Source organism: Homo sapiens, chromosome 1 (genome assembly GCF_000001405.40).
Source record: "Homo sapiens chromosome 1, GRCh38.p14 Primary Assembly".
Classification (NCBI taxonomy): Eukaryota; Metazoa; Chordata; class Mammalia; order Primates; family Hominidae; genus Homo; species Homo sapiens.
Genome location: NC_000001.11, coordinates 78,646,422 through 78,671,534, shown reverse-complemented (window position 1 = coordinate 78,671,534; position 25,113 = coordinate 78,646,422). Strand labels below are relative to the sequence as shown.

At 36.6% G+C, this 25,113-nt stretch overlaps 1 protein-coding gene and 1 pseudogene across 10 annotated transcripts, besides 1 other annotated feature; both read right to left on the bottom strand.

The window, feature by feature from the left end:
- Positions 4,838-5,264, bottom strand: RPL23P3 (ribosomal protein L23 pseudogene 3; annotated as a pseudogene).
- IFI44 (interferon induced protein 44) lies at positions 7,457-21,746 on the bottom strand. Of its 10 annotated transcripts, NM_006417.5 has the most exons (9): positions 21,630-21,704; positions 20,883-21,349; positions 17,256-17,292; positions 16,326-16,521; positions 16,024-16,173; positions 12,052-12,223; positions 10,881-10,981; positions 8,657-8,831; positions 7,462-7,770 (listed from the first exon to the last, which is right to left on the bottom strand). In NM_006417.5, exons 2-9 carry the CDS (start codon positions 21,337-21,339, stop codon positions 7,724-7,726), a joined length of 1,335 nt encoding a protein of 444 aa, NP_006408.3. In that variant the 5' UTR covers positions 21,340-21,349; positions 21,630-21,704; the 3' UTR covers positions 7,462-7,723. The 10 variants fall into 10 exon arrangements, 8 of the variants coding, with proteins under 8 accessions (XP_011538818.1, XP_047289627.1, NP_006408.3 ...); NR_135641.1 differs by lacking the exon at positions 10,881-10,981 and having other exon boundaries at positions 7,457-7,770; positions 21,630-21,746; XM_011540516.4 differs by lacking the exon at positions 21,630-21,704 and having other exon boundaries at positions 7,457-7,770; positions 8,618-8,831.
- Positions 21,600-21,869: an enhancer, noted in NCBI's record as "active region_1237". NCBI's record gives its function as "activates an Ori minimal core promoter by ATAC-STARR-seq in GM12878 lymphoblastoid cells {active_cell/tissue: GM12878}" and the evidence as "EXISTENCE:reporter gene assay evidence [ECO:0000049][PMID:35858748]".

The following is a 25,113-nucleotide window of genomic DNA, read 5'->3' as shown; positions in this document are numbered from 1 at the left end:
AAAACAGTTACTGCTAGACCTAAGGAAAAAGACAGCAACACAATAATAGAGAAAGACTTCAATACTCCATTGTCAGTACTAGAAAGATCATCAAGGAAAAAGTCAATGAAGAAACACTGGACTTAAACTGCACTGTAGAATAAATGAACCTAAGAGATATTTACAGAATATTCTACTCAAGCAACGCAGAATATGCATTCTTCTTGTCAGCACAAGAAACATTATCCAATATGGGCCATACAGTAGGCCACAAAACAAGTCTTAATAAATTTTTAAAAATCAAAATTATATCAAGTTCTTCTCAGACCACTGTGGAATACAAGTAGAAATCAACTCCAAGAGGAAACTCAAAACTATACAAATACATGGTAATTAGGCAATCTGCTCCTGAATGATGTTGGGATTAAAAATAAAATCAAGATGGAAATTTAAAAATGATTTGAAATGCATAAAAATTGTGACAGAAGTTATCAAAACCTCTGGGATACTGCAAAAGCAGTGCTAAGAGGAAAGTTCAGAGTGCGAAAAGCCTACATCAAAAAGTCTGAAAGATCACGAATTGGCAACTTAATGTCACACCTCAACGAACTAGAGAAACAAGAACAAATCAAACCCAAAGCTAGCAGTATAAAAGAAATAATGAAGATCAGAGCAGAGCTAAATGAAATTGAAACAAAAAAATTACAAAAGACCAATGAAACAAAAACTTGGCTTTATGAAAAGATAAAATTGATAGAATATTAGCTAGATTAACCAAAAAAGAAGAGAGAAAATTCAAATAAGCTTAATTAGAAAAGAAAATGGAGACGTTACAAACAATGCCACAGAAATACAAAAGATCATTTGAGACTACTATGAGCACCTCTATACACTCAAATGAGAAAATCTAGAGGAAATAGATAAATTCTTGGAAACATACAACTCTTCTAGCTTGAACAAGGAAAAAATAGAAATCCTGAACAGACCAATAACAAGCAGTCAGGTTGAATCAGTCATTTAAAAAATTGCCAACAAACACTGAGCCCAAAGCCACATGGATTAACAGCCAAACTCTACCAGATCTTCAAAAAAGAGTTGCCACAAATCCTACTGAAACGATTTCATAAGATTGAGAAAGATAAAATCCTCTCTAACTCATTCTATGAAGCCAATATCACCCTGATACTAATGCCAGGAAAGAACACTAAAAAAAAAAAAAAAAACTACAGAGCAAAAAAACAAAAAAGAGTACATTCTGTGTGATTCTACTCACATAAAGTCTAAAGTCAACAATTAAGTTGACCCATACAGTATTAGACTTACTCACTAACATTACTGTGAGTAGGTCTCACAATAATGAGTAGGTCTCACATTATAGACCTACTCATTATTGTGAGTAGGTCTCACAATAATGTTAATAATCGGTAACGTTGACCCAATAGTATTAGATTATACAGTATTAGTAATGTCAACAATAAGTAGCTGTTGACCCATACAGTATTAGACCTACTCACTGACATTAGAATAATGGGTCAATGTTAGTGAGTAGGTCTAAAGTGTTAGACCTACTCTAGTGTCAACAATTAAGTTGATCCATACAGAAAGTATTAAACCTACTCAGCAACATTATAATAATGATATAACGCCAGACTATAAGATTTTTGGCCATGCTCCGGTTATTTCTGGTGTTTTATAGCAGTGATTAACTGAGCTTTGATGAGCTCATAAGAGGATTCTGAGTTGGTTGTACTTAGGCTTGGAAGAGGATTATATTTTAGGGGGCCAAATCTAGTTCAAGATAATTAGTTTATTGAATGCTGGCTTTTTGTTTGGTTGGTTTGTTTCTGTCATTTCACATGAGAGAGGAAGCTACATATCTGAGGATAACCTCGGCTTAAGGAAGCCATCATCCCTGAAAGGCCTTTACCTTTTACACACAGCTACTCATGCAGACCCTTCCTCCCCTTCCTACTCTCTGAGGAAGCTACATTTCATCAATGCTGTTTCCTCGTTATTCAATAACATGCACTTGGTATGCTCCAGAATTTTTAACAGATTCTCCTTTATCTTGAACTCTGTGTTCATTACAAAGAAAATTGACCAATAGTCAATTCCCCAGGTAATCCTAAAACTAGCTGTTAAACCTTCCTTTCCGAAAACTTGTCAATATATCATTGCTGCCTATTCCTAAGACATTTTCTAATAATTCTTATTAGATTATATGAAGTTGCTTATTATTAAAGCAACTTCAACAATGCTTAATAGACAAAAACAGAAGTACTAAAACATTAAAATGGAAGGCCACCAAGATCTGCATCATTAAATATAGAGTTGGAATTCCTTCAGCAAAATACGTTTACCAAGAACATACAACATACAAGTGTTTTGATATTTTTTAATAGATGGACTACTTTATGTTTTTATTCACAATTACTTGCATATTTTGTAGATGATTTTTTAATAGATGGACTACTTTATGTTTTTATTCACAATTACTTGCATATTTTGTAGATGTTGATAGAGGCATTCAACTGCATGTATACTTTTCCAAAATTAAATTTACTTCTTCCTCTGGACAGTTAGCTTCCATAGGTAATTAGTCAAATGGGAGATCATTGCATTGTGAAAGTTCACTATCTATGAAAGTTTTATTTTCATAGTAATGTGAAAATGAGTCTATATATCCATTATTGCACCAAAGAGTTATGGTAGGAAATTTAAATAATGCTTAACACACTACACATCAATAATACTACTGTGTCATTTTACTACCCATCCCAGTAAATATTCCATTTTCTGCATGCTATATATTTTCCTGTAACTGGGGTAGTTACCAGAGGCCACTGCTCTGTAAATTCCAAGTACCATCTGGTCTGAGAGAAAAACATATGCCAGCCTTTACAGAATAAGGTTTTACTGATAAAGGCTTTTAAGTAGCATCTGTTTCCCATAGAAAGGAAATGGTGTTGATACTTAATCTGTCCAATCTCAACCAATTTCACCATAAGGAATATGGCTTTCTTTTAAAGTTGGGTACTCTGGTTATAAGAAATTAGCAGTAAAGACTGCATTCCCAGTAATAGCTTGCCATAGTAGGTTGACACTAGTGTTTCCACAGCCAAAGTCTCTAGTTTACCCAGCCCCACTGTTTCTCTCTCTCCTTCCATCCCTCCTTTCCTTCCTACCTTCTTTAATTCCTTCCCTCCTCTTTTACTTCCTTTCTTCTTTTCTTCCCCTATTTCTTCCTTCCTTCTTTTCTTTCTTTTTAAATTTCAAATAGTTTTATTGTCTAACTGGCCTACCCAGCACAGGCAAGATTCCTGAGAAATAATTCCTTCTAGTGACCATGAGTTAAAATTCCTTCTCACAAAAATGAGCCTCCAGAAAACCATCTGCACTTCATTACCACATCAAATTTAATTCCCAGGGATCCCAAATCCCTCTTAGCATGTTGGAGCTGGTTTTAGTTAATGCCGTAAGTATAGTTGCTACTAACTCTTTATGCTGTGAGTGCTGTTGAAGTATATAATTGGCACCCAAAATACTGATCTTCCAGAAGATTGTCAGTTGAACATGATGACTCCTAGGTGCAGTTCAATTTAATATGCATAAGACTGCCCATAATCATTCTTTTCAAAGTTTCAAAGGCAAATCCATCAGTGATATTTGATCATCATATCAAGCAATAGTTTACTCTCTTGGACTCCATTCCAATGTCCTATTTGTTTAATATTTCTTCCACATTCACATGTGATTTATTGAAAAGAGCAAAGGGGATTCCAGCCTATTAGAAATGCAGTGATGGCACATTTTTCTTCATAGCCATACCCAGCTGAGAGTCACAATACAACCAGCTCAGCTCAAGGGTAAGATTTCTCTCCAGCCTACAACAGAACTACTACGATAAATGTAACCAACAAAATGAGATTCAAATGAAAATTTCAACCAGTTAATATAAAGGTAGGTCATCGAGGGTAATTGATGTCTTTTCAGTAAATAACCTAAGCAGAGTTCTTGGCCTAATCTTGTAGCTTGGCTTCAATGCCATTCTCCTTTCCAGTGGGAGAAAATTTTAGGATCTTCTTTCTGAGCTGGCAATTACTTGGTACTACAGAATACAGAAACTGTTAAGAGTGTTTTCGTCTTGTTCTGAGATATTCTCTTAGGATAAAAGTGATGTGTTCATTCTCAGCATCATTACACATTTTATGCACACCTTTCTCATCTGCCACAATTCCCCCTTTGCTTTCCATTTGTTACCTACTTATTACCAGATTTTACTCCTTGGGTGTGTCTCTACTGCTTACCTACATAAGGCAAATAGCTGGAATAACCCTGCCAGGCCTTCCCCAGGAAGAAGAACTATAAATATAAGTAGTGATGGGACCACCCCACTTGTAGGCAATGGAGCAACACTTACAGCCAGTCCTACTTTATGCATGAGATGGAGTCACTATCAAGTCCATTGTTTCCTTACCAGGATGCAAGTCAAATTCACAGGGATTGAAATAGTATCCTGAGTGGTGATGCCTCCCTATGCTGGGATATGCTATTGTAGCTGATACAACTTGATCTGGCAAGATAAAAGAAAATTTTTGTTGGAAAGATAAAGTTGTGCAAATGCATCATCAATCTTCTCTTTATCCCTACAACCATTTACCAAAATTCTTCCCAATGGGTTTTTCTGCTTTAAATTCACCCAATCCGGCCAGGTAGTCCTTCATGACCTCATCATCACCAGTTTTTATCAACAGATATTTTAATTGCCCATTCCAGTTAGTTTTTTGGGGAGTGGGAAGAGCAAATATTTTTAATTAGTTACTTGCCTTTTTTTTTTTAACACAAATATACTGGAGAATCACGCAATGCTGTCAGCATCTAACACAATCCTGGGCCACAAGTCTGCACACTCCTTTCCAACTGGTCTTATGATGGCAGGACCTTTCCATCTTGCCTTCATTGTTTTCTATGACCCCTATATTATCTGCAAAATAAAGAAACATGCCATTCTTTCTTTGGTATGACTTTTTTTTTGTTGAACTACCACTGCTGGATATACTTCCTTTCTGAGCTCTGGTTGTTTGCCTTTATTGACTGACCATCACCATGTCACCCACTCCAGCAGTGGAAAGTCTGTTCAGCTGCCCTTTGATTCCCTTCACAGACATGATATAGAGATTTTTGGCTCCTGTGTTGTCAACACAATTGATCTTGGCTCCTATCAGAAAACCCAAGGAATTCCAGTATTTCACACTGGAGAACCCACCACATCCTTGCTTAGACATGTTGAACGCTGAAAAAGGGCAGAATGACCCATTTCAGTTCTTGATCAAACTGTTGCTATATTGATGATGCAGAACTTCATAAGTCCATATGATGCTGAGTCTCTTAGCTCGGTTTTGTACATAGGCAACATGATGTGTATACTCTGATTTAAGGAAATGCAACCTAGGAAACTGAGCTTATTCACATTCTGTTGTTCCACATCTTTAATAGTGTCCTAGGCCAGGGATGCCCATCCCCCAAGCCACAGACCAGTATGAGTTGTGACCTGTTAGGGACCAGGCCACACAGCAGGACATGAGCAGCGGGTGACTGAGGGAAGCTCCATCTGTATTTACAGCTGCTCCCCATTGCTCACATTACTGCCTAAGCTCTGCCTCCTGTCAGATCAGCGGTGGAATTAGATTTTCATAGGAATGTGAACCCTATTGTGAACTGCGCGTGTAAGGGATCTAGATTGTGCGCTCCTTATGAGAATCCAATGTCTAATGATTTGTCACTGTCATGCATCACCCCAAGATGGAACTGTCTAATTGCAGCAAAACAAGCTCAGGACTCCCGCAGATTATACACTATGGTGAGTTGTATAATGATTTCTTTTTATATTATAATGTAATAATAATGGCAATAAAGTGCACAATAAATGTAATGTGCTTGAATCATCCCAAAACCACCTGACCCACCACTGGTCTGTGGAAAAATTGTCTTCCATAAAACCAGTCCCTGGTGCCAAAAATGTTGGGGACCACTGTCCTAAGACATTGCTACACCCAAAGTATAAGCAAAGTCAAAGCCCGACATTCATTTATTCTAGTCAGAACCCAGTTGAAGACACCTGGGGCTACTAGTAAGGTTTCTACATAGTCTACCTGTGGTTCTTTGCTTTCAAAGAATCTTACCAAAAGCCGTGTTTTAGAAATTCTCTATTAGCATTCTGAATGCTGTGTTACTACATTAGCAGTTTCCATAAAGGAGTATGTCGTGATTCCACCCAATGTTTATAGCTTGAATGACAATATCTCCGTTTATTTCATGTACCCAAATGAAGACATCCAAGGAATGGACCAGTATATCAGCCTTTGTATTCTAATGCCTCTTTAGCCAGTAACTAGGCTTTATTTGGTGGCCACTGACATGATCCATTTTAATTCTTCCACAAAATTGCTACAGATTTTCATAATTTAATGCTCCTCAAAGTGTATTCTTAATTGACTGATCATGTGGATCTCATATGCGCTAAATGCAAGGGCATTAACCACAGCATGAATCAGAATAGCAAGCATTACCTCAGATGAGTCAAAATTGTCCTATACTGTCAGATATACTGCCTTCAATTTTGCCCATTTTGTGGACCTAACTTTGCCTTCAGCTAAGGTTTACCATCAGCAGGGTAACACTCAGAATAGTGGATACCCTGGCTAATAACTAGGCTGGGGCATAAGTGGGACTTCTGACATGCCTGCTGGTGAAGTTCTGTTTCTTATCTGAGTGCTAGTTTCTTGGATTTGTTAAGTTTATAAAAATGCATTGGGCCATATACATGAATCATGCACTTTTTATGTTTATACTATATTTTAAAAAAAAGCTTTTTAAAAGTAATTGCTAATAATTTTATATGTATTAATAAGACTTGAATTAAGTTGGCTTAAGATTATCAAGGATGCTAACCTGAGAGAATGATAGCAACACATAAAGGAATAATGAAGGGGTGAATGTGTGTGTGAGAGAGAGAGCGAGAGAGACAGAGACCGAAATAGAGAGACAGCTAGAGAGAGAGAAATAGTCAACAGCTTTTAAATCCCCAGATTCAATCATTTCTGAAGCCAGTTCTATGCCCTTTCTTTGGTTTGATTACTTGATCCAATACTATAATCCTCTTTTTTATTCATATAGTTCAGGGTGAGTGTTGTCACTTGTAACTAAAATAGTTATAACTATAAAGTAATCAAGCTATAGCCTCTTTCAGTTTTAGTCTTACAGAATTCTTATGAATATTAATTACCACATTCGGTAAGTATCAAACATTAAGCAAAAATGGCTTTAGGTGAAAGAATACAACATTAAGAAGGGATTCATACAGGCCAAAATCACATACTTTAGAAATAAAATCAGAAGGCAAAATTAAGATGAAAGCAGTGAATATCAGAAGATGCTGACAAATCATAATTTTTCCAAAATCACACACACTCTCAAGTTAGACCCGAGTTTTATAAGAAATTTATTTTTTCACAGATACAGAACATAAATCCAAGAAAAATTATTATTATTTTTCACAATTATGACTAAATCATGTTATTTCTAGTTATTTACAAGTACTACAATGTTCTATGCATTTCTTCATCCTAGACATTAATAAAACACATCCCTTTGGTCTTAGATACTTCTCTTTGGTCTGTGTTTTCTCCTTTCTGAATTTTAATCTTCTGTGATGTGAGGAAATTTACGTGAACCTTTCACATATCTATTTTTTTCCTTGTGCACAGTTGATAATTTCCTCCCTTAGATTCCCTGAGAAAAGAAACACAAAATATTCTTAGTGGATTATCTCAGGAAAGGCAACCAGAGGGAAGAGGAATATTGGACCACTGAAAATCTCAACCAACGCTAATATTAGGAGCACACGTACCATGAGGAAGAGAAGGGATGGGGAAACCAAGATGGCAGAGTTAGAGCAACAAAGTTAGTAACATGAGAGTTTCCCAGCAATTTGAGTAAGAGAGAATTGGAGAGGATGTGATATTCTGAATTGATTTCCCAAGCACTAAAATAAGATTTGAGTATACTAAACTGAAACCTCTGTCAAATCTCTAAATGGAACAGAGCAGCATGTACTATGCACAGATTGTTAAAAGAAAGTTTATGTAATACTAAATGCGGTGGCCATTACATAAAAGGACATACCTCTACCTAGCAATGACCATACTGCATGAAGAGGGACTAAGATGAAGGAAAGAAACAAAAAGGCAAGTCAAAGAAAGACAGGAGTGTAAGGTCCTAAGGAAGGGGCAAATAATCAAAGGTCTCATCTGATCAGGAGCAATGCCAATCCAATCCAGTTCTAGGTCCCAAGTAAAGAAACATAGTCTGAGAAAAGAGGCCAGGGATACAGCTTGGGATGTTCAGAGAGTGGAAATGACAGAGGTGGATTATTTTAAAACTTTCATCTCAAGACAAAAAGGGAAAAACATAGTGCAGATTCTCTAGTATGAACTCCAGGAAAAGAGGGAAATGCAAGGAGGGAAAAATGCATCCAGGGAGTGGGTTAAAAAGCAGAACTAATCACAGGGCAACAACCCACAAAAAGACAGAGAGCTGCCAGGTATTTAATAGATCCAAGCAGAAAGTAGCCAACTACCTGACCGCTTCCAAGCTTCCACACCACCAAACCATCTACCTATTTGCTCAAAAGGCAAATCCTCTAAGAAGTCATCTGCAGCCCATAGCATTCGTCTCAGAGCAGAAAGAATTAGAACATCCTTTACAGGGTCCAGCTCCCACTCAGAGGAATAATTGCTAACCACCGAGATGTCAGAAAGAGCAAATCCAAGTTTTCTTTGGACTTCCTCTAGCTGCAATACAGAAATTAAAAAGACATTGCAAAACAGTGAAAAATATTATTTTATGTTAGTATAAATTATGAAAGCAATATCAAGATGTAGGAACTTGCAATAATTTCCCATTGGAAAAAAATGGAGATCTGGTCTCACAAAGTACTCTTGAAGAACTTCACATATCAAGTTCTAATGTCACTGATAATTGTAATTTGGAATACATGCAGTGGATTCTAAATGATTTAGAAACAAAATTTTTATGACACCTATCCTACAGTCCATATATTTCCTGTTTCTTTTAAAAAACATTCTCTGGATAAGTAGATTTTATTAGACCAGTTTAACGTTTAATTCTTGTTTAGACTATTTTACCTCTAGAATCAAACTGCCTAGGTTCGAAATATTTATCTGTCACTGCTCAGCACTGTCAATAAACGTTGGCAGATGTTTACTCTGTTTTCTTTGTTTCCTCACTTGTAAAATGCAGTAATGATAGTACCCATTTCATAGGCTTGTTATAAGGACTGATTAAGAAAATCTATCACATACTTAGTGCTCAACAAATACTTGCTATCATTGCATTCTCCCAACTGGTGTTCCCACCTCCAGGTTCCTTTTGATTCCAATCTATTCTGTACACAGTGCCAGATTAATTTTTCTGAAGATCATAACTTTAATTAACTTTGATCATATCATTACTCTTTCAAAAAATTGCTGTGATTCCTCATAATGCTCCTAATTAAATAAAATTACTTCATGCAAATGTTCCTTGCCCATTTTATCTCTGCCTACAAAGATCCAGCCCTTCACTAACCTGAACTCCACATTTCCCAAACATGCTGACTTTTCCTCCATTAATATATTGTCTTATGCTGAATTTGTTGGCCCTTTTTGTCTCTTCATTTTGTGAAATATTTCTTCTCCTTGAAAGCCGTTTCCCTGTGCCGTTCCATTGATGAAATCTCCCCGAACCCCTTTAACACTATACTTTCCTTCTCTAAACTTTTAAAGCACTTTATTTTTCATTGTTTCATTATATTTATCACACTCAATCGTACATAATCTCTTGTCAACTTTTTCTTATCCCACACTCCCATCCCCTCACCACTATTTATAAAATTGTAAAATTTTTAGTGCGGGGGAATTTTTTTCATGATCTGTGTAGCTGATAAGAGAGTAACACACTGGCTCAACCTTAAAGATAATATCAATAAACATTTATTGAATTGAATCTAGTTGAATTAAATTGTAATAAATGAACTTACCCATGTCAGTGTAAAGATAGACAGTTAGCCTTCTGTATCCATGGGTTCTGCATCTGTGAGTTCAACTAAGGCTCAAAAAAAATTGAAAAAAAATGGCTGGGTATAGGGACTCATGCCTTAATCCCAGAACTTTGGGGGACCGAGATGAGCAGATCACCTGAGGTCAGGAGTTTGAGACCAGCCTGGCCAACATGGTGAAACCTAATCTCTACAAAAATACAGAAAAGATTAGCCAGGCATGGTGGCATGTGCCTGTAATCCCAGCTGCTGAGAGACAGAGGCAGGAGAATCACTTGAACCCAGGAGGCGGAGGTTGCAGTGAGCCGAAATCATGCCACTGCACTCCAGCCTGGGCAACAGAAACTTCATCTCAAAAAAATAAATTTTGAAAAAATATTTCATCTGTACTGAACATGTACAGGTTATTTTCTTGTCATTAATAATGAAAAATAGAGTAGAACAACTATTTACAAAGCATTTAATTTGGGTTAGGTATTATAAGTAATCTAGATATTATTTAAAGTATACCAAAGGATGTGCATAGGTTATATGCAAATACAAATACTATGCCATTAAGCATCCACAGATTTTGGTAACAATGCAAAGTCCTGGAACTAATCCCCTGCAAATACCAAGGAACAACTGTATTTAATTTTTAAATCTTGGGAAACGGGCCCTATTTAAGTAATTTTGTAATTCTTCTTAAACCCAGTAGCTGCTTGTTTTTATTTTTATACACACTAGTATGTGATTGTAGTAACATACCCCAGAAAATGTGTTTACGAAGGGCATCATTCATTACCTTGGACCTCACAGGCTCACATCTCTCTATTTCTATAAGGTCACCTTTTGTAATCAAATCCATGCTATCCACATGAGTGAGCAAAGCCACATGTACCACACCTATGCCAAACAGAATTTTTTAAATCATTTTAGAGAGCATCAGTATTTTCAAGTTATTTAACTATCAATTATGTAATAGGCAACCTATGGAACAATTTCAGATTTGGAAAGATCCCCCACACCCCGGTCACCCTCATCTCCCCAAAAAACTCCCCTGGACTACTTATTAGTATCTGGAATTTCTCTGACATGGGGAGTCACCTTCATTGATTTCAATGGTAACAAATGAGGCCTCAAATGAAACCACCTCTTGGAAGAGGTAACTAAAATTTATGCTGCAATATTACTGATTGATTTCATATTCTGTCCAGAAGTTGTGTTTTGACAGAGACTAAAGACCAAAGGGCTCTAATAAACAAGATGGGGGAGAAGAATCCTCAAGAAAGAGACAGAATGTGTCAAAGCATCACAAGTAAACTTCCCTTATTTCACAACACTAGCAATCATCTCTCTGCACATCTCCTCTTTGCAAAGTTTTAAATTTCAGCAAGCAGGTAAGTTGATCACTCTCTGCTTCAAAACTAAGAACAGTGATAAACTGGCTCTTTCTCACTCAAAGTGGATATGACAAGAAAAGCCAGAATGGCTCACCCTAAATCCCTGATCCTGGTTACCTTCTCCAAACTCTTTACCTCTCCCTACAAACATCTTACCTTCCTGTTTCTTTTCCTTTCGGAAATGTTTCTTCTTCATTTTCTAATTCTTAAAGCTCAAGGCCCAATATTGGTCAATAAAGCATGCGAAGATATAGGGGTAGCATGTAGTTCAGATTGTACTACCCTTCACATATGCATTAATTTGTTTTAATTCTTAACAAAAAAGTCTCTAAGAGGTACTATTATTATACTAATTTTATTGATTAGAGAATTGAGGCACAGAGAGTTTAAGTTACTTGCACAAAGTCATATAGCCAATGAATGCTCAATTTCATTGAAGCATCCTGGTAGGCTAGGGAAGATTGAAATATGCAATGACTTAAGTTCTTTATCCTGTCCAAAAAGCATTCTAAAATACAGTCTAGTCAATTACCCTTAGTGGTATTACCCTTAGCAAAGTGGAATGAGACTCACCAGCGTTTACCAACTCCCTTCGAATTCTTTTGATCTTTACTATCATCTGAGAGGAGAAGTATTGAATAGAGCTGGCATCAAATACAAATGCCACACAATGAATTCTGTCCTTCAGCGATGGGGAATCAATGTAGTCATGATGATTTAATTTGATTGATTCCATGGGATTAAACTGTAAGGTAGACATAAAGCAAGATATTAATTCAACAAATATTTATGAGCACAAACTATGTACCAGGCACTGTGCAAGTGAATCAAATGGTAAACAAAACAGAAAAGTCTCTAATAGTATGAGGCTAACAATCTTGGTAGAGAAGACAGGCATTATGCAAGTAAGCCAGCAGTCCTTTCACCTAGTCAAGTAAGGCCTCTGTGAGGAAAGGACATGTAATCTGAGAGCTAAAATAGCAGGAGTGAGTCTGCTAAAGAGAATAAGGATATGGCTGAAAGTGTTCTAGATAAGAGAGGCAATCTGCCCACAGATGGAAGTAAGAGCATTCAGAAAAAAAAGCTGGTACCATCAAGCAGAGCGCAAGGAGGGAAGGGGTCCAAGGTGAGATGACTTTACTCTTCATCTAGCACTTCTCTGTTGGGAATCTGTCCCACTGATATACTGACAAAAATGCAAAATGATATATGCAAAGATTATTAACTGCTGGAACATTTGTAGCAGAAAAATGCCATGTCAGTTAAACAATGTCTGATAAGTCAATATAACATAGTTTTCTACCACTTCTCTAAGAAGGGAGTAGCAGCAAATTTATATGTACTTTGTTACATATTTTAAAAGGCAAGTAAAATATAAATTTTATATGGTTACTAATGGGAAGAGGGGAGAAATTTATTTGAAGGGGCAGAGAAGGAAGATAGATTCTTTGACTATACATTATTTTGTAGATTTGATCTTTGAACCACATAAATGCTAAACATAAATATAAAACCAAATTAACTTAACAATTCAATTCCTAAATTTAATTTAATTAGTGAACTGTTATGGTTATAATACAAGAATAAACTATTCTGATTGACTTTAAAATACAATAATTTGTACACCCCTCCAAGGATACATGATACAACCTAAACACACTATAAAAATATGCTAAAATGTTTTAATTGTTTCCAGTTTTGATTGTGATTATATGAAACGATATTAAGTGTGATTATGATGAGATTGTTCATGGTACTGATAGAGCTTTTATACTGAGGTTACTATAGATGTTATATAAGATAAAGGAAATGAGCTGTGACATGATATTCTGTTACCTCCAGTGTTTTTGAGAATGAGAATTCTCAGTTTGGGTGAAAGCAGATATACGAGTGATAGAAAAGAGAGTAAGTAAAAACTTTCTAGTACTGAATTTGAATAAGAAGTTTTAGTATAAGTTTATAATTTATTTTTTTTCATTAAAATGTATATTACTTAACTCTACTCACTGAGAAAGTCAAGAAACAATGACCAACCAAGTAGCTATGAGCATTTCTAATGCCCCACACCAGGACTACTTGAAGAAATAGCTGTTTCAAAAGCTGTGGCAAGAATAAAAGAATATAAAAAAGACTTTTAGGTTCATGTCAAAAGGACTCAGGATCCAAATTGTAGAGGCTTTCACTGGTACAAGATGGTACATTTTACATCAGTATGGAGAAAACCTACAATGGATTGAAACACACAATGTATGTTCAATTCATATTGAGTTCTTAATAACAATAAAATAATATCTTGACCCTATTGGCAAAGGCGAAGGAGATGTTATAATTTCAAAGTCTTGCAAAAAGGCAAAAATTTCAAGCATATATCCTGTTGTTCTTTTTAAACTGTGCCACTGGGTAATCAAAGAATGGATGAGGGTAAGCTTCCTTTCATATGTGAAATGGTGAAAGAATAATATAGAATGTCACTATTTTCACACTTTAACAAATAAATGGATCTAGGAATTAAACATTGATTAACACCAGTATTAGAAAAGGGATAAATCCCCATATTGTGCATGGTTTCATATAATACAACACAATCTATGAAGTAGAACCTAAATTGAAACACACTTTAGCTTCAACTCTCAATAATCAGGACACACAGAAAACAGAGGACCATGTAAAACTACCCCGAGGGATGCAAATAATGGAGTTCAGATTACGTAGAAGTCTACAAAACAACTAGATTTCTTAAGAAACAAATGATAAGGAAAAAGCAAGGGATATAAAGTCAGAACATACAATCAAAGAGACTGAATAGACCTATTTGAATGTTTTTCAAACAAACTTAAAGATGTATATTTATAAAGCAATTAGAAATTTGAACATTGAGTTGTATTTGATAATTTATGGAATGATTGTAAATTTTAGGTGGGATAAGAGTATTATGGCTATGTTTAAGGAGAAATATATATATGCTCCTATTTATATAGTTATATGTATATTCAATATTGAATGAAATGTTATGATTTCTTGGGTTTGCTTCAAAATAATAAGAGAGAAGAGAAAGTGGGTAGATATAGATAAAACGAGATTGGCTGTGAGTCAAAAATTTTTGATGCTGAGTACATGGGAATCCATTAAACTACTTTGTATATTTTAAAATTCTCTATGATAAAAAGTTTGTATTTAAAAAAGAATATTTAAAAATAAACAGCATTTACAAGATAACTCTATACTAAAGAATGAAAAAATCTTGCATGAATAGAAAAACAAAACTTGCTGTGTTTTTTAATAGGCACACGAGATATGTAAAGATGTCAATCAATTTTCAGTATAAAGTGTAAATATAATTTCAATCTAAACAACAAGAAATCAAACACAAATGATCAAACAAAGCACAAAAAACCTCACTTGAAAAGGCCTATGTATGAAAATTGCCAAGAAAAACAAATAGGAGTAATAAAAAATGAATGTGACTTGTCTGGTAACTTATCAAGCCATAATTGATTACTACGGTAATTAAAGCAATTAGATAATATAGTAATTAAAATAATTAAAATGCTGTCATGAAATAATAGATCACTACATCAATAGAAAAAACTAGACAATACAAAAACTGACCCAAATATTTCATAATGGAAAGATACAAAAGGCATTCAGTGATGCTGGCATCATTAACTGCCATTTGGAACAAAGTAAACTTACTGATTAATTCGAGATCTGAATGTTCATTAAAAGACTACAAGTTTAAAAAATATATACTTAGATGGTTTTTTGATCTCCCCTTCCTCTTGCCTGGATCACTGACAGTGCTCAGTGTTTTTTCACATAAAAATGACAGCCATACGTCTCAGTCAGGTGGGGCTGCTATGACACATTATACAGATCGGGTGCTTAAACAACAAACATTTATTTCTCACAGTTCTGGAGGCTGGGAATTTCAAGATCAAGGGGCCAGAAGATTCAGTTTCTAGTCACGGTCCTCTTCCTGGTTTATAGAGAGTCACCTTCAGGCTTTATCTTCACATGACAGAAAGAGATCATCTTTCTTATGTATATAAGAGCACTAATCCCATTCATGAGGTCTCTATCTTCATGACCTAATTACCTCCCAAAGTCGCTACCTCCAAATACCATCACATTGAGGACTAGGGACTTCAACATATAAATTTGGGGGAGGCATATCTTAACAGCCCATGCTGAGGGCCTCAAAAAGTCAGAAGGATCTCTGAAGTTAGTAACTTCAGATAGCTGCCACACTGGTCCCAAGCTGCCTGCCTTCAGACTTCCTCTTACATAAGAAAAATTATCTGTGTGGGTAAGTTGATGTAGTTGGATTTCTGTTTCACATAGCTGAAAGCAATAGAAAGTGGAGTAGCTGTTAAGATAGCCATGATGGAAGAGCCCTCGAGATGTTTTTATTCTTTTTGAAAAAAAAAATCTAAAAGAGACAAAGGATCTTGAGCAAGTATAATTTAAGAAGATAAACGCTGATACATTTGTACAAAAATAAGCATTTTAAAAATCAGTTATAATTTCTCATTAGTCAAATATTACCTGGTATCTATCACGAATGTTACCGTTCAAGATATAGAATATGTCATCCCTGCACAGGCCGCCTTCTTTCTCACTCAGCCCCAGTGAGTCACACAGAATAAACGGCAGGTATTTGCCATCTTTCCCGTCTCTAATAGAGTATGTCCTATACTGTAGAGGGGAGAAAAGCAATTTTAAAGATTCATTTTTTATTATAAATTGAGATGAAGTCTATATGTAATAAAGTTGATCTGCAAAAGGCTTTTGAAATATAATTGATTTGAACAGAGAAGCAAAGGCTAGGTGGCCTCAAATGTGCTTACCTTCTCAGATATCCCAGTTGTATTAGTGCCCACCAAAGCCTGATGCGTTACATGCCCTTGGAAAACAGACCTCACTGAGTTGAAAAAGCTGGACTTCCCAGCTCCAATTGGACCCAGCAGCAGAATTCGTATTTGTTGAACCAGGGATCCATATGGTTCATAAGTTCTCAAGGCAGACAGTAAGCTCTTCCTGAGCCTGTTTAGACATGACCGTTTTTAACAATTGACTGAGGTTAGGTCGCAAAACCTTATTATAAATTTTCTGAGAATTCATTTTTTCATAGATATTATTTTTGATTAGCAACTTGACTTCTTACATGAAAGACATGAGACGAACCTACCTGAAATCCTATTGCAAAAAGAACAAAAGGCAAAAATAATACACAACTAAAGCCAGACATAAAATCTTTCAGATTTAAATTACTAGACCATATAAATCTAAAGATAAGTAATAGCTGTTTTAAACATAAAGATCAATTATTTAAGACTAAACTTCAGAAGTCATATATATTGTGTCACATATATATAAGTCACAATATATATGACTTCTGAAGTTCATGAAAGTAGACAATTTCTAACATGTTCTTGAAGTTCATGGTAGGTTTTCTCCACCCACCAACCACTTCTTCTACAGCAACTCTCTAGAGTAGTTGAAATATTAACTGCAAGAATTCTAAGCAAAACACAGACATACAAACAAGTAATTATTTTTCTTCAAGTATATGACATTAAAATTCCTTTCCTCTACTCAGTGTCCTTTTTTTTAACATTAATATTATCAAATATTTTATGATTATAAATACAGTTTGTTCTTGATGATCCACAAGTTATGTGTGATAATATGTGTTGCCAATTATATTGATGAGACCTATCATAGAATAAGTCAAAGATAATGAAGAGAGTAATAGAATCTTAAAAACATTGACTTACTCAATGACCCCTTTTATCTTTCTTTCATCCAGTGAATCTGGGGAAATAATCAAAGAATAATGTAGATTAGAAGTTGTCGAATAATTGGCTGAATGAATGAATGAATATCAGTGAATTCACTAGGGACAAATACAAAAATAGCCTTTCCATGAGAATGGTCCCGTATGGTGAAAAGGGAGCAATTTTGTAGAGCAAATTCTGATAAATCTCTTTAACATCATCTCATTTGAAGAGGCTAGGGCTAGAGGTAAGTAGACCCTCTGTACTATCAGCAGATCTCTTCTCATTCAATTACTCAACAGTAGTGTGTAACTTACTCCGACATGGGAATTGAGGCTGTGGGTGTTTTCTAAATAAAAGAAGCAAGGCCTAGAGATGTGGGAATATCTAATGTGGAAATGTGGGAATGTCTAATAAGACATTTTCCCCTCCATAATCCAATAAGTCTGAGAGGAATAATGTGCAGAGACACAAAAACAGAAAACACAGGCACTAGATTTTCTCTACAACCTGCTATTAACAATTGGAACTCCAGGAACTTCCAGCTCACTTAATTTTATTCCTGCTCCCAGAAGAGAAGATGAGACTCATGCCTACCCAACCAGAGCACAGTAAATTGTTCAGGGGTAAGCAGTGGATTTCATTCAGATCAATAAGGCACGGGCTCAGAATTTTTTTTTTGGAAAGAGACATTTTTATGGTGAATTTAAAACAGAAAGGATAAGGATAAGCGATGCTACCAATTCTCTCAACTACAAAAGAAGAATATCATGTGGAACATTTATAAACATGGCTATATGTATGGCAACAAAGTAAACAATAAATTACCAATAGTAGAAATTATGAAAACTTCACTCAATATCTATAATGTAATAAGACTAGCAAAGTGCAAGTACAAACAATTGGAAAAGCAGCCTCCTGGGAGTTTAAAAAGAACTGTCTTAAATAACTTTAATACCCAAAAGGAAATAAAAACCACAATTATAAATATATAGGAAATAGCAATATGAACCTTTATGTCAATGTTTTGATAAAATCCCATTTCATTAATGGCAAGAAGGAAAACATTGAAAATTGAAAATAGAATAAAAAAGAATAAAGAAACAAACCACACAAATATAAAGAGAAATTATAAAATATAAAACCAAATTTTAAAACGTGAAGAAAGGATAAATTAATATAGTAATTGATTATTTTAAAATGTAAAATAAATAATTATCTTGTTTTATCAAAGAAAGACAAATTTGCTAAATGTCATATCACCACTCATATACCAAAATAGTTACATAATCTAAAAATAAAACAAAATGCTGAAAAAGATTTGGAGTGACAGAGACCTTTGTACACTACTTATAGTTCTAGAAATTTATATAAAACTATGTTGGGAAATTTCATCAGTGTCAACTGAAAATGAACATATACATACCCTATGATCCAGCAATTTCATTGTATTTTCTTCAAAAAACAATTATATGTACCAACCAAAAGATAAGTACAATAATAATATTTATAGCAGTATTATTTGTAATAGCCCCAAACTGGAAAACAAATGTCCACCAGTGATGATTGGATAAAATACTGTGCAGGATGCACCACAATGGAATACTATATGAATGAAAAGGAACAAACTATTGCTACGTACAAAAATAAGGGTGAATCACTAGGAAGGTAGGAGCTAAAGCAGCTAGACAGATACATTCACTCACTTTACCAGGGAACACTCTCAGGGAAAAAAGGAAGACAACTGACTGAGTCTAATTTTCTAATAAATACGCTGGTAATTTTATGTCCTGGTAAATAGACTAATGATATTTCCCACACGGAATACTACACATCTCTTGAACGTCCTTAACAGGATACCTGTGGCTAAGCATTACTTAGTAAATAAATCTAGATTCCAGCCGGGCACGGTGGCTCACGCCTGTTATCCCAGCACTTAGGGAGGCCAAGGCAAGCGGATTACGAGGTCAGGAGTTCGAGACCAGCCTGGCCAGCAAGGTGAAACCCTGTCTCTATTAAAAATACAAAAAATTAGCCGGGGATGGTGGTGTCCGCCTGTAATCCCAGTTACTCGGGAGGCTGAGGCAGGAGAATTACTTGATCCCGCGGGGCGGAAGTTGCAGTGAGCTGAGATCATGCCACTGCGCTCCAGCCTGGGTGACAGAGACTCTGTCTCAAAAAAAAAAATCCAGATTCCATGGATTAAGGGGGCATGCTTGCCTGCCTTGAAAATGTCGTGGAAACTGGTGTGTAATTTTTCAATATGTAAAGTGGCCCATAAACTTCACTTAAAACCCCTGCCTATTTTTCTGGCCCTTAAAGCATATGTCCAATATGGAAAGGAAAGATTTAGGGAGCCACACAGAATATCTAAGTACTCTTTCTGCCTTTTCTTAGGTTTCTGCTTGCCTCTATCTTTGAAATTACTAATACAGCAATATTAGATATTATGCTAAGTGAAATAAGCCAGACACAAAAGGACAAATACTACATAATCCCGCTTATATGAGGAATCTAAAATAGTCGAATTCATAAAAGCAGAGTTAGAATGGTGGTTTGCCAGGGACTGTTGGAAGGAGGAAAGGAGGATACATTTGTCAAAGGGCATAAAGTTTTACTTATGCAAGATAATTAAGTCCCAGAGATCTACTGTACAGCATAGTACCTACAGCAACAATACCATATGGCAGGGGTCCCCAACTCCCGGGACCACGGAGCCGTGGCTCTTTGTGGCCAGTTCGGATCCAGGCCACAGAGCAGGACGTGAGAGGCAGGCGAGTGAAGCTTCATCTGTATTTACAGCTGCTCCCCATTGCTCATATTACAGCCTGAACTCTGCTTCCTGTCAGATCGGTGGCGGAATTAGATTCTCATAGGAGCGCAAACCATATTATGAATTGTGCATGAGGGATCTAGGCTGCATGCTCCTTATGATAATCTAATGCTTGATGATTCACTGTCTCCCATCACCCCAAGATGGGACCGTTTAGTTGCAGGAAAACAAGCTCCGGGTTCCCGCTGATTCTACATTACAATGAGTTGTGTAATTATTTCATTGTATATTACAACATAGTAGCAATATAAATAAAGTGCACAATAAATGTAATGCGCTTGAAATCATCCCCCCACCACCAGTCTGTGGAAAAATTGTCTTCCACGAAACTGGTCCCTGGTGCCAAAAAGGTTGGTGACCACTGCTGGTACATGGTAAGTCGTCACTTAACATCACCATGGATTCTTGGAAACTGTAATTTTAAGCAAAACAACATACAGCATGTCCCTGAATAATGTCTTTCTTCTATAATGATGAGGGAAATAAACTGGTTTCGTTGTAAGTTTTTTCACTTAAGTCACATTTTCCAAGAACCTATAGTCCACATTAACAGAAGATTTACTGTACTTAAAATGTGCTAAGAGGATAAATCTTACGTTAAGGGTTCTTATCATAAATATACATTTTATTGACCATGGTTGTCTCTTAGCAAACAATCTGTATCCAGGTTTCAGTCTGAATCATCCAAATTATTGACAAGTGAAAAGTTCATTTTTCCTTAAAGAGATGAATTGGTTCAAACCTACCAAACATGCAAGGGAGAACTCTCTACAGGATTATCTAATTAAACCTACCTTCGCATCGAAAAACTTCATAATCCTGAATAGAGATAGTACAATTTTGAGCAAGTCCAAGATTTTCCATTGTCTTTAAGTCCATAATCACTTTTCTATTTCTTCCATCTATCTGGAAATTAGTTGGGGAGTTATATTTTGTAACATCACAACAAAACAGTGTTTCTGGTGTACATAGTCCTAGTTTCCATTCTGAAATTTTAGTATCTTGAAGTGCAAAAAGGATGATGGAAGCATACTTTCCTTCCTGGTAACTCTCTTCTGCATATGCTCCAATAATATGATCTTCACTATAAATCACTGTTAGAGTAGGCCCTTGATTACAACATCTGTCAAGCAAAACTCCATTACGGAATCCATGGACACTACCCTTATAGAGAAGGCTAAGCCGCTTCCCTCCAAAATGATTTTGCAGGATCTTTTCGTGCAACCATGTCAAACGAGTTGTCACTGCCATACTTCTTGATCTAGTGGCAAATCATATATATTTTCCATTAAATATTAAAAAACAGATAATATGTAGTTATAAAATTTGCATTTATGCCTCTTATATACTCTACATAATACAAAAAATGACAAAACAAAGGATGAACAGAAAGCAAAAAAATCATTAGCTAATTTTTTACTATAAATTATTGTTTTTTAAATTAAAACAAAAACTGAGATTGGCAAGTGACACTGTCACCTGAGAGAGACAGAGAGAGACTAATGCTAGCTAGGAAAAATGAAAAGCAGAAAGACATTTACCTGTTGTACTGTCTGTAGTATCAGCTAGAGCTGAGGGTAGCTGCTCTGTCTGGATAGCTAGGCAGGCACAAAATGGGAGAAGGAAATTATTCAGCAGCCTTGAAGCTTCAAAGACTCAGAGAAAGGAAACTGAAACTCAGTGTGCCCAGCCCACTTGACAGCATGCCAACTTCTCTCAACAAAGGAGCATAAGCTGATCCAGCTTTTAGACAGTAAATTTATATTAAAAAAATTGAAAGAATCAAGGAATTGAAGTCAGAGGGAAGAAAACATAACAGCTCACTAACTTTTAAAAAATCTTTTTATTTAAGGAAAATGCAACCAATTTCTGTATATGGACATACAAAAAGTATTGCACATTCTACCTCTAGAATATGTATCTCAAATTCATTTACATCTCTTAATCCCTGCTATCAATTAATTCTACTGTAGTATAGTTCCTTATGTAGAATGTTATTTTAGCCTCCAAATTTGTTCCTCTGCTTTTCTGCTTGCCCCCTCTCTTCTGACCACAGGAAAATGAGGAGACTTCATTTATAAGATATAAAACAACCTGTGTCAATTTCACAATAAAACCCCTTCTCTAACTTCACATTGCTAAGGATCATAAATTCGTGTCCTATAGGCAGAATTCAATCCGCACATTTGTTCTGTAGGGCCAATGTAATGTCTTTATAGTTTTTAATTGTTGAACGTGAATGCTTTTATATCATTGGGCATCCACTCTCCAGTCCTCCTTTGTCCCCTCTTGCTTTATACCTGACTGGTTCTAAAAAATTTAAATTACCTGCCTGCCCTAAAAAGGTTTTTTTAATTTGCTGGCCCTATTAAAAACAATAGCATCATCAAATAAAAATATTTTAAGCAGCTTATGAGGTATTATATACTTGGCTTTAAAAATTATATTATTATAGACATTATTTGCAAGACAATTTACATGTATCTCGTGTGTTTATTTTAATAACTTTATGATGAGGACACCAATATTATTGCCACTTTTCAAGTAAATAAACAGAGTTTTGGAGTATTAAGTGAGAAAAAGAGGAGGAATAGGAGTGATGTGGGAAGAAATCTCCTACTTTAGACAGCATAATCAGGAAAGGTCTATCTAATGAGATGTCATTGGAGAAGTGTCCTGAATGGAGTGAGAGGGAGTACCATGGAAATATCTAGGAAAAGTGCTTTATAAGCAGAGAGAATGGCAAGGATAATCACCCCTGTGGCAGCTTTTTGAAGTAAGGAGTTCAGTATGGTTAGTGCAGAGTAAAGTTTGGAGGAGGATAGCAGTGAACAGTAGAATGGAGGGACCAGGTGGAGATAATTGAATCATGGGGCAGTTCGCATCATAGTGAGTTAGTTCTTATAAGATGTGATGGTTTTATAAAGGGCTTCCCCTTTCTCTGGGCACTCATTTCCCTCTCCTGCTGCCACGTGAAGAAGGACATGTTTGCTTCCCTTTCTGACATGATTGTAAGCTTCCTGAGGCCTCCTCAGCCCTGTGGAACTGTGAGTCAATTAAACCTCTTTCCTTTATACATTACCCAGTCTCAGGCAGTTCTTTATAGCAGTGTGAGAACAGACTAATACAGTAAATCGGTACAGAGGGAGTGGGGCACTGCTATAAGGATACCCAAAAATGTGGAAGCAACTTTGGAACGTAACCAACAGAGGCTGGAACAGTTTAGAGGACTCAGAAGAAGACAAAATTGTGGGAAAGTTTGGAACTTCCTAGAGACTTGTTGAGTGGCTTTGAACAAAATGCTGATAGTAATATGGACAATAAAGTTTAGGCTGAGGAGGTCTCAGATGGAGATGAGAAACTTGTTGGGAACTGGAGCAAAAGTGACTCTTGCTGTGCTTTAGCAGAGACTGGCAGCATTTTGCCCCTGCCCTAGAGATTTGTGGAACTTTAAACCTGAGAGAGATGATTTTATGTATCTGGCAGAAGAAATTTCTAAGCAGCAAAGCATTCAAGAGAAAGCAGAGCATGAAAGTTCAAAAATTCACAGGCTGGCAATGGGATAGAAAAGAAAACCCTATTTTCTGGGGAGAAATTCAAGCTAGCAGCAGAAGTTTGCATACATAACAAGAAATTGAATGTTAATCACCAAGACAATGGGGAAAATGTCTCAAGGGCATGTCAGAGATCTTATGGCGGGCCCTTCTATCACAGGCCTAGAGGCCTAGGAGGGAAAAAATGGTTTCCTGGGCTGGGTCCAGGGTCCCACTACTGTATGTAGCCTCGGGACTGTGTCACGGCCACTCCAGCCGTGGCTAAACAGGGCCAAGGTACAGCTCAGGAAATTGCTTCAGAGGGTGCAAACCCCCAGCCTTGGCAGCTTCCATAAGGTCTTGGTCCTGTGGGTACACAGAGAGCAAGAATAAGGTTTGGGAACTTCTGCCTAGATTTCAGAGGATATATGGAAACACCTGGATGTCCAGGTAGAAGTCTGCTGCAAGGTCAGAGCCCTCATAGAGAACCTCTGCTAGGGCAATGTGGAAGGAAAATGTGGGATCAAAGCCCCCACACAGAGTCCCCTCTGGGGCACTGCCTAGTGGAACTGTGAGAAGAGAGCCACTGTCCTTCATTCCCCAGAATGGTAGATACACTAACAGCTTGCACTGTGTGCCTAGAAAAGCTGCAGAAACTCAATGCCAGCTGTGAAAGCAGCTTGGGTGGGGGGGTGCTGTATCCTGCAAAGCCACAGGGACAGAGCTTCCCAAAGCATTCAGAGCCCACCTATTGCATCAGCGTGACCTGGATGTAATACATAGATTCAAAGGAGATCATTTCAGAGCTTTAAGCTCTGACTGTCCAACTGGATTTCAGACTTGCATGGGGCCTGCAGCTCCTTTGTTTTGGCCGATTTCTCCCATTTGGAATGGATGTATTTACCCAATGTCTGTACCCTCACTGTATCTAGGAAGTAACTAACTTGCTTTTGATTTTACAGGCTCATAGGCAGAAGGGACTTGCCTTGTCACCAATGAGACTTTGGACTGTGGACTTTTGAGTTAATGCTGAAAATAGTTAATATTTGGGGGGACTGTTGGGAAGGCTTGATTGTGTTTTGAAATGTGAGGACATGAGATTTGGGAAAGGGTCAGGGGTGGAATGATATGGTTTGGCTGTGTCCCTACCTAAATTTCATCTTGAATTTTAGTTCCCTTAATCCCCATTTGTTGTAGGAGGGACCAGGTGGAAATAATTGAATCACAGAGACAGTTTCTCCCATCCTGTTCTTGTCATAGTGAGTTAATTCTCATGAGATCTGATGGTTTTTATAAGGGGCTTCCCTCTTTGCTAGGCACTCATTTTTCTCTCCTGCCACCATGTGAAGAAGAAAATGTTTGCTTCCCTTTCCACTATGATTGTGAGTTTCCTGAGGCCTCCCAGCTCTGTGGAACTGTGAGTCAAATTAAAACTCTTTCCTTTATAAATTACCCAGTCTTGGGCAGTTCTTTATAGCAGCATGAGAACGGA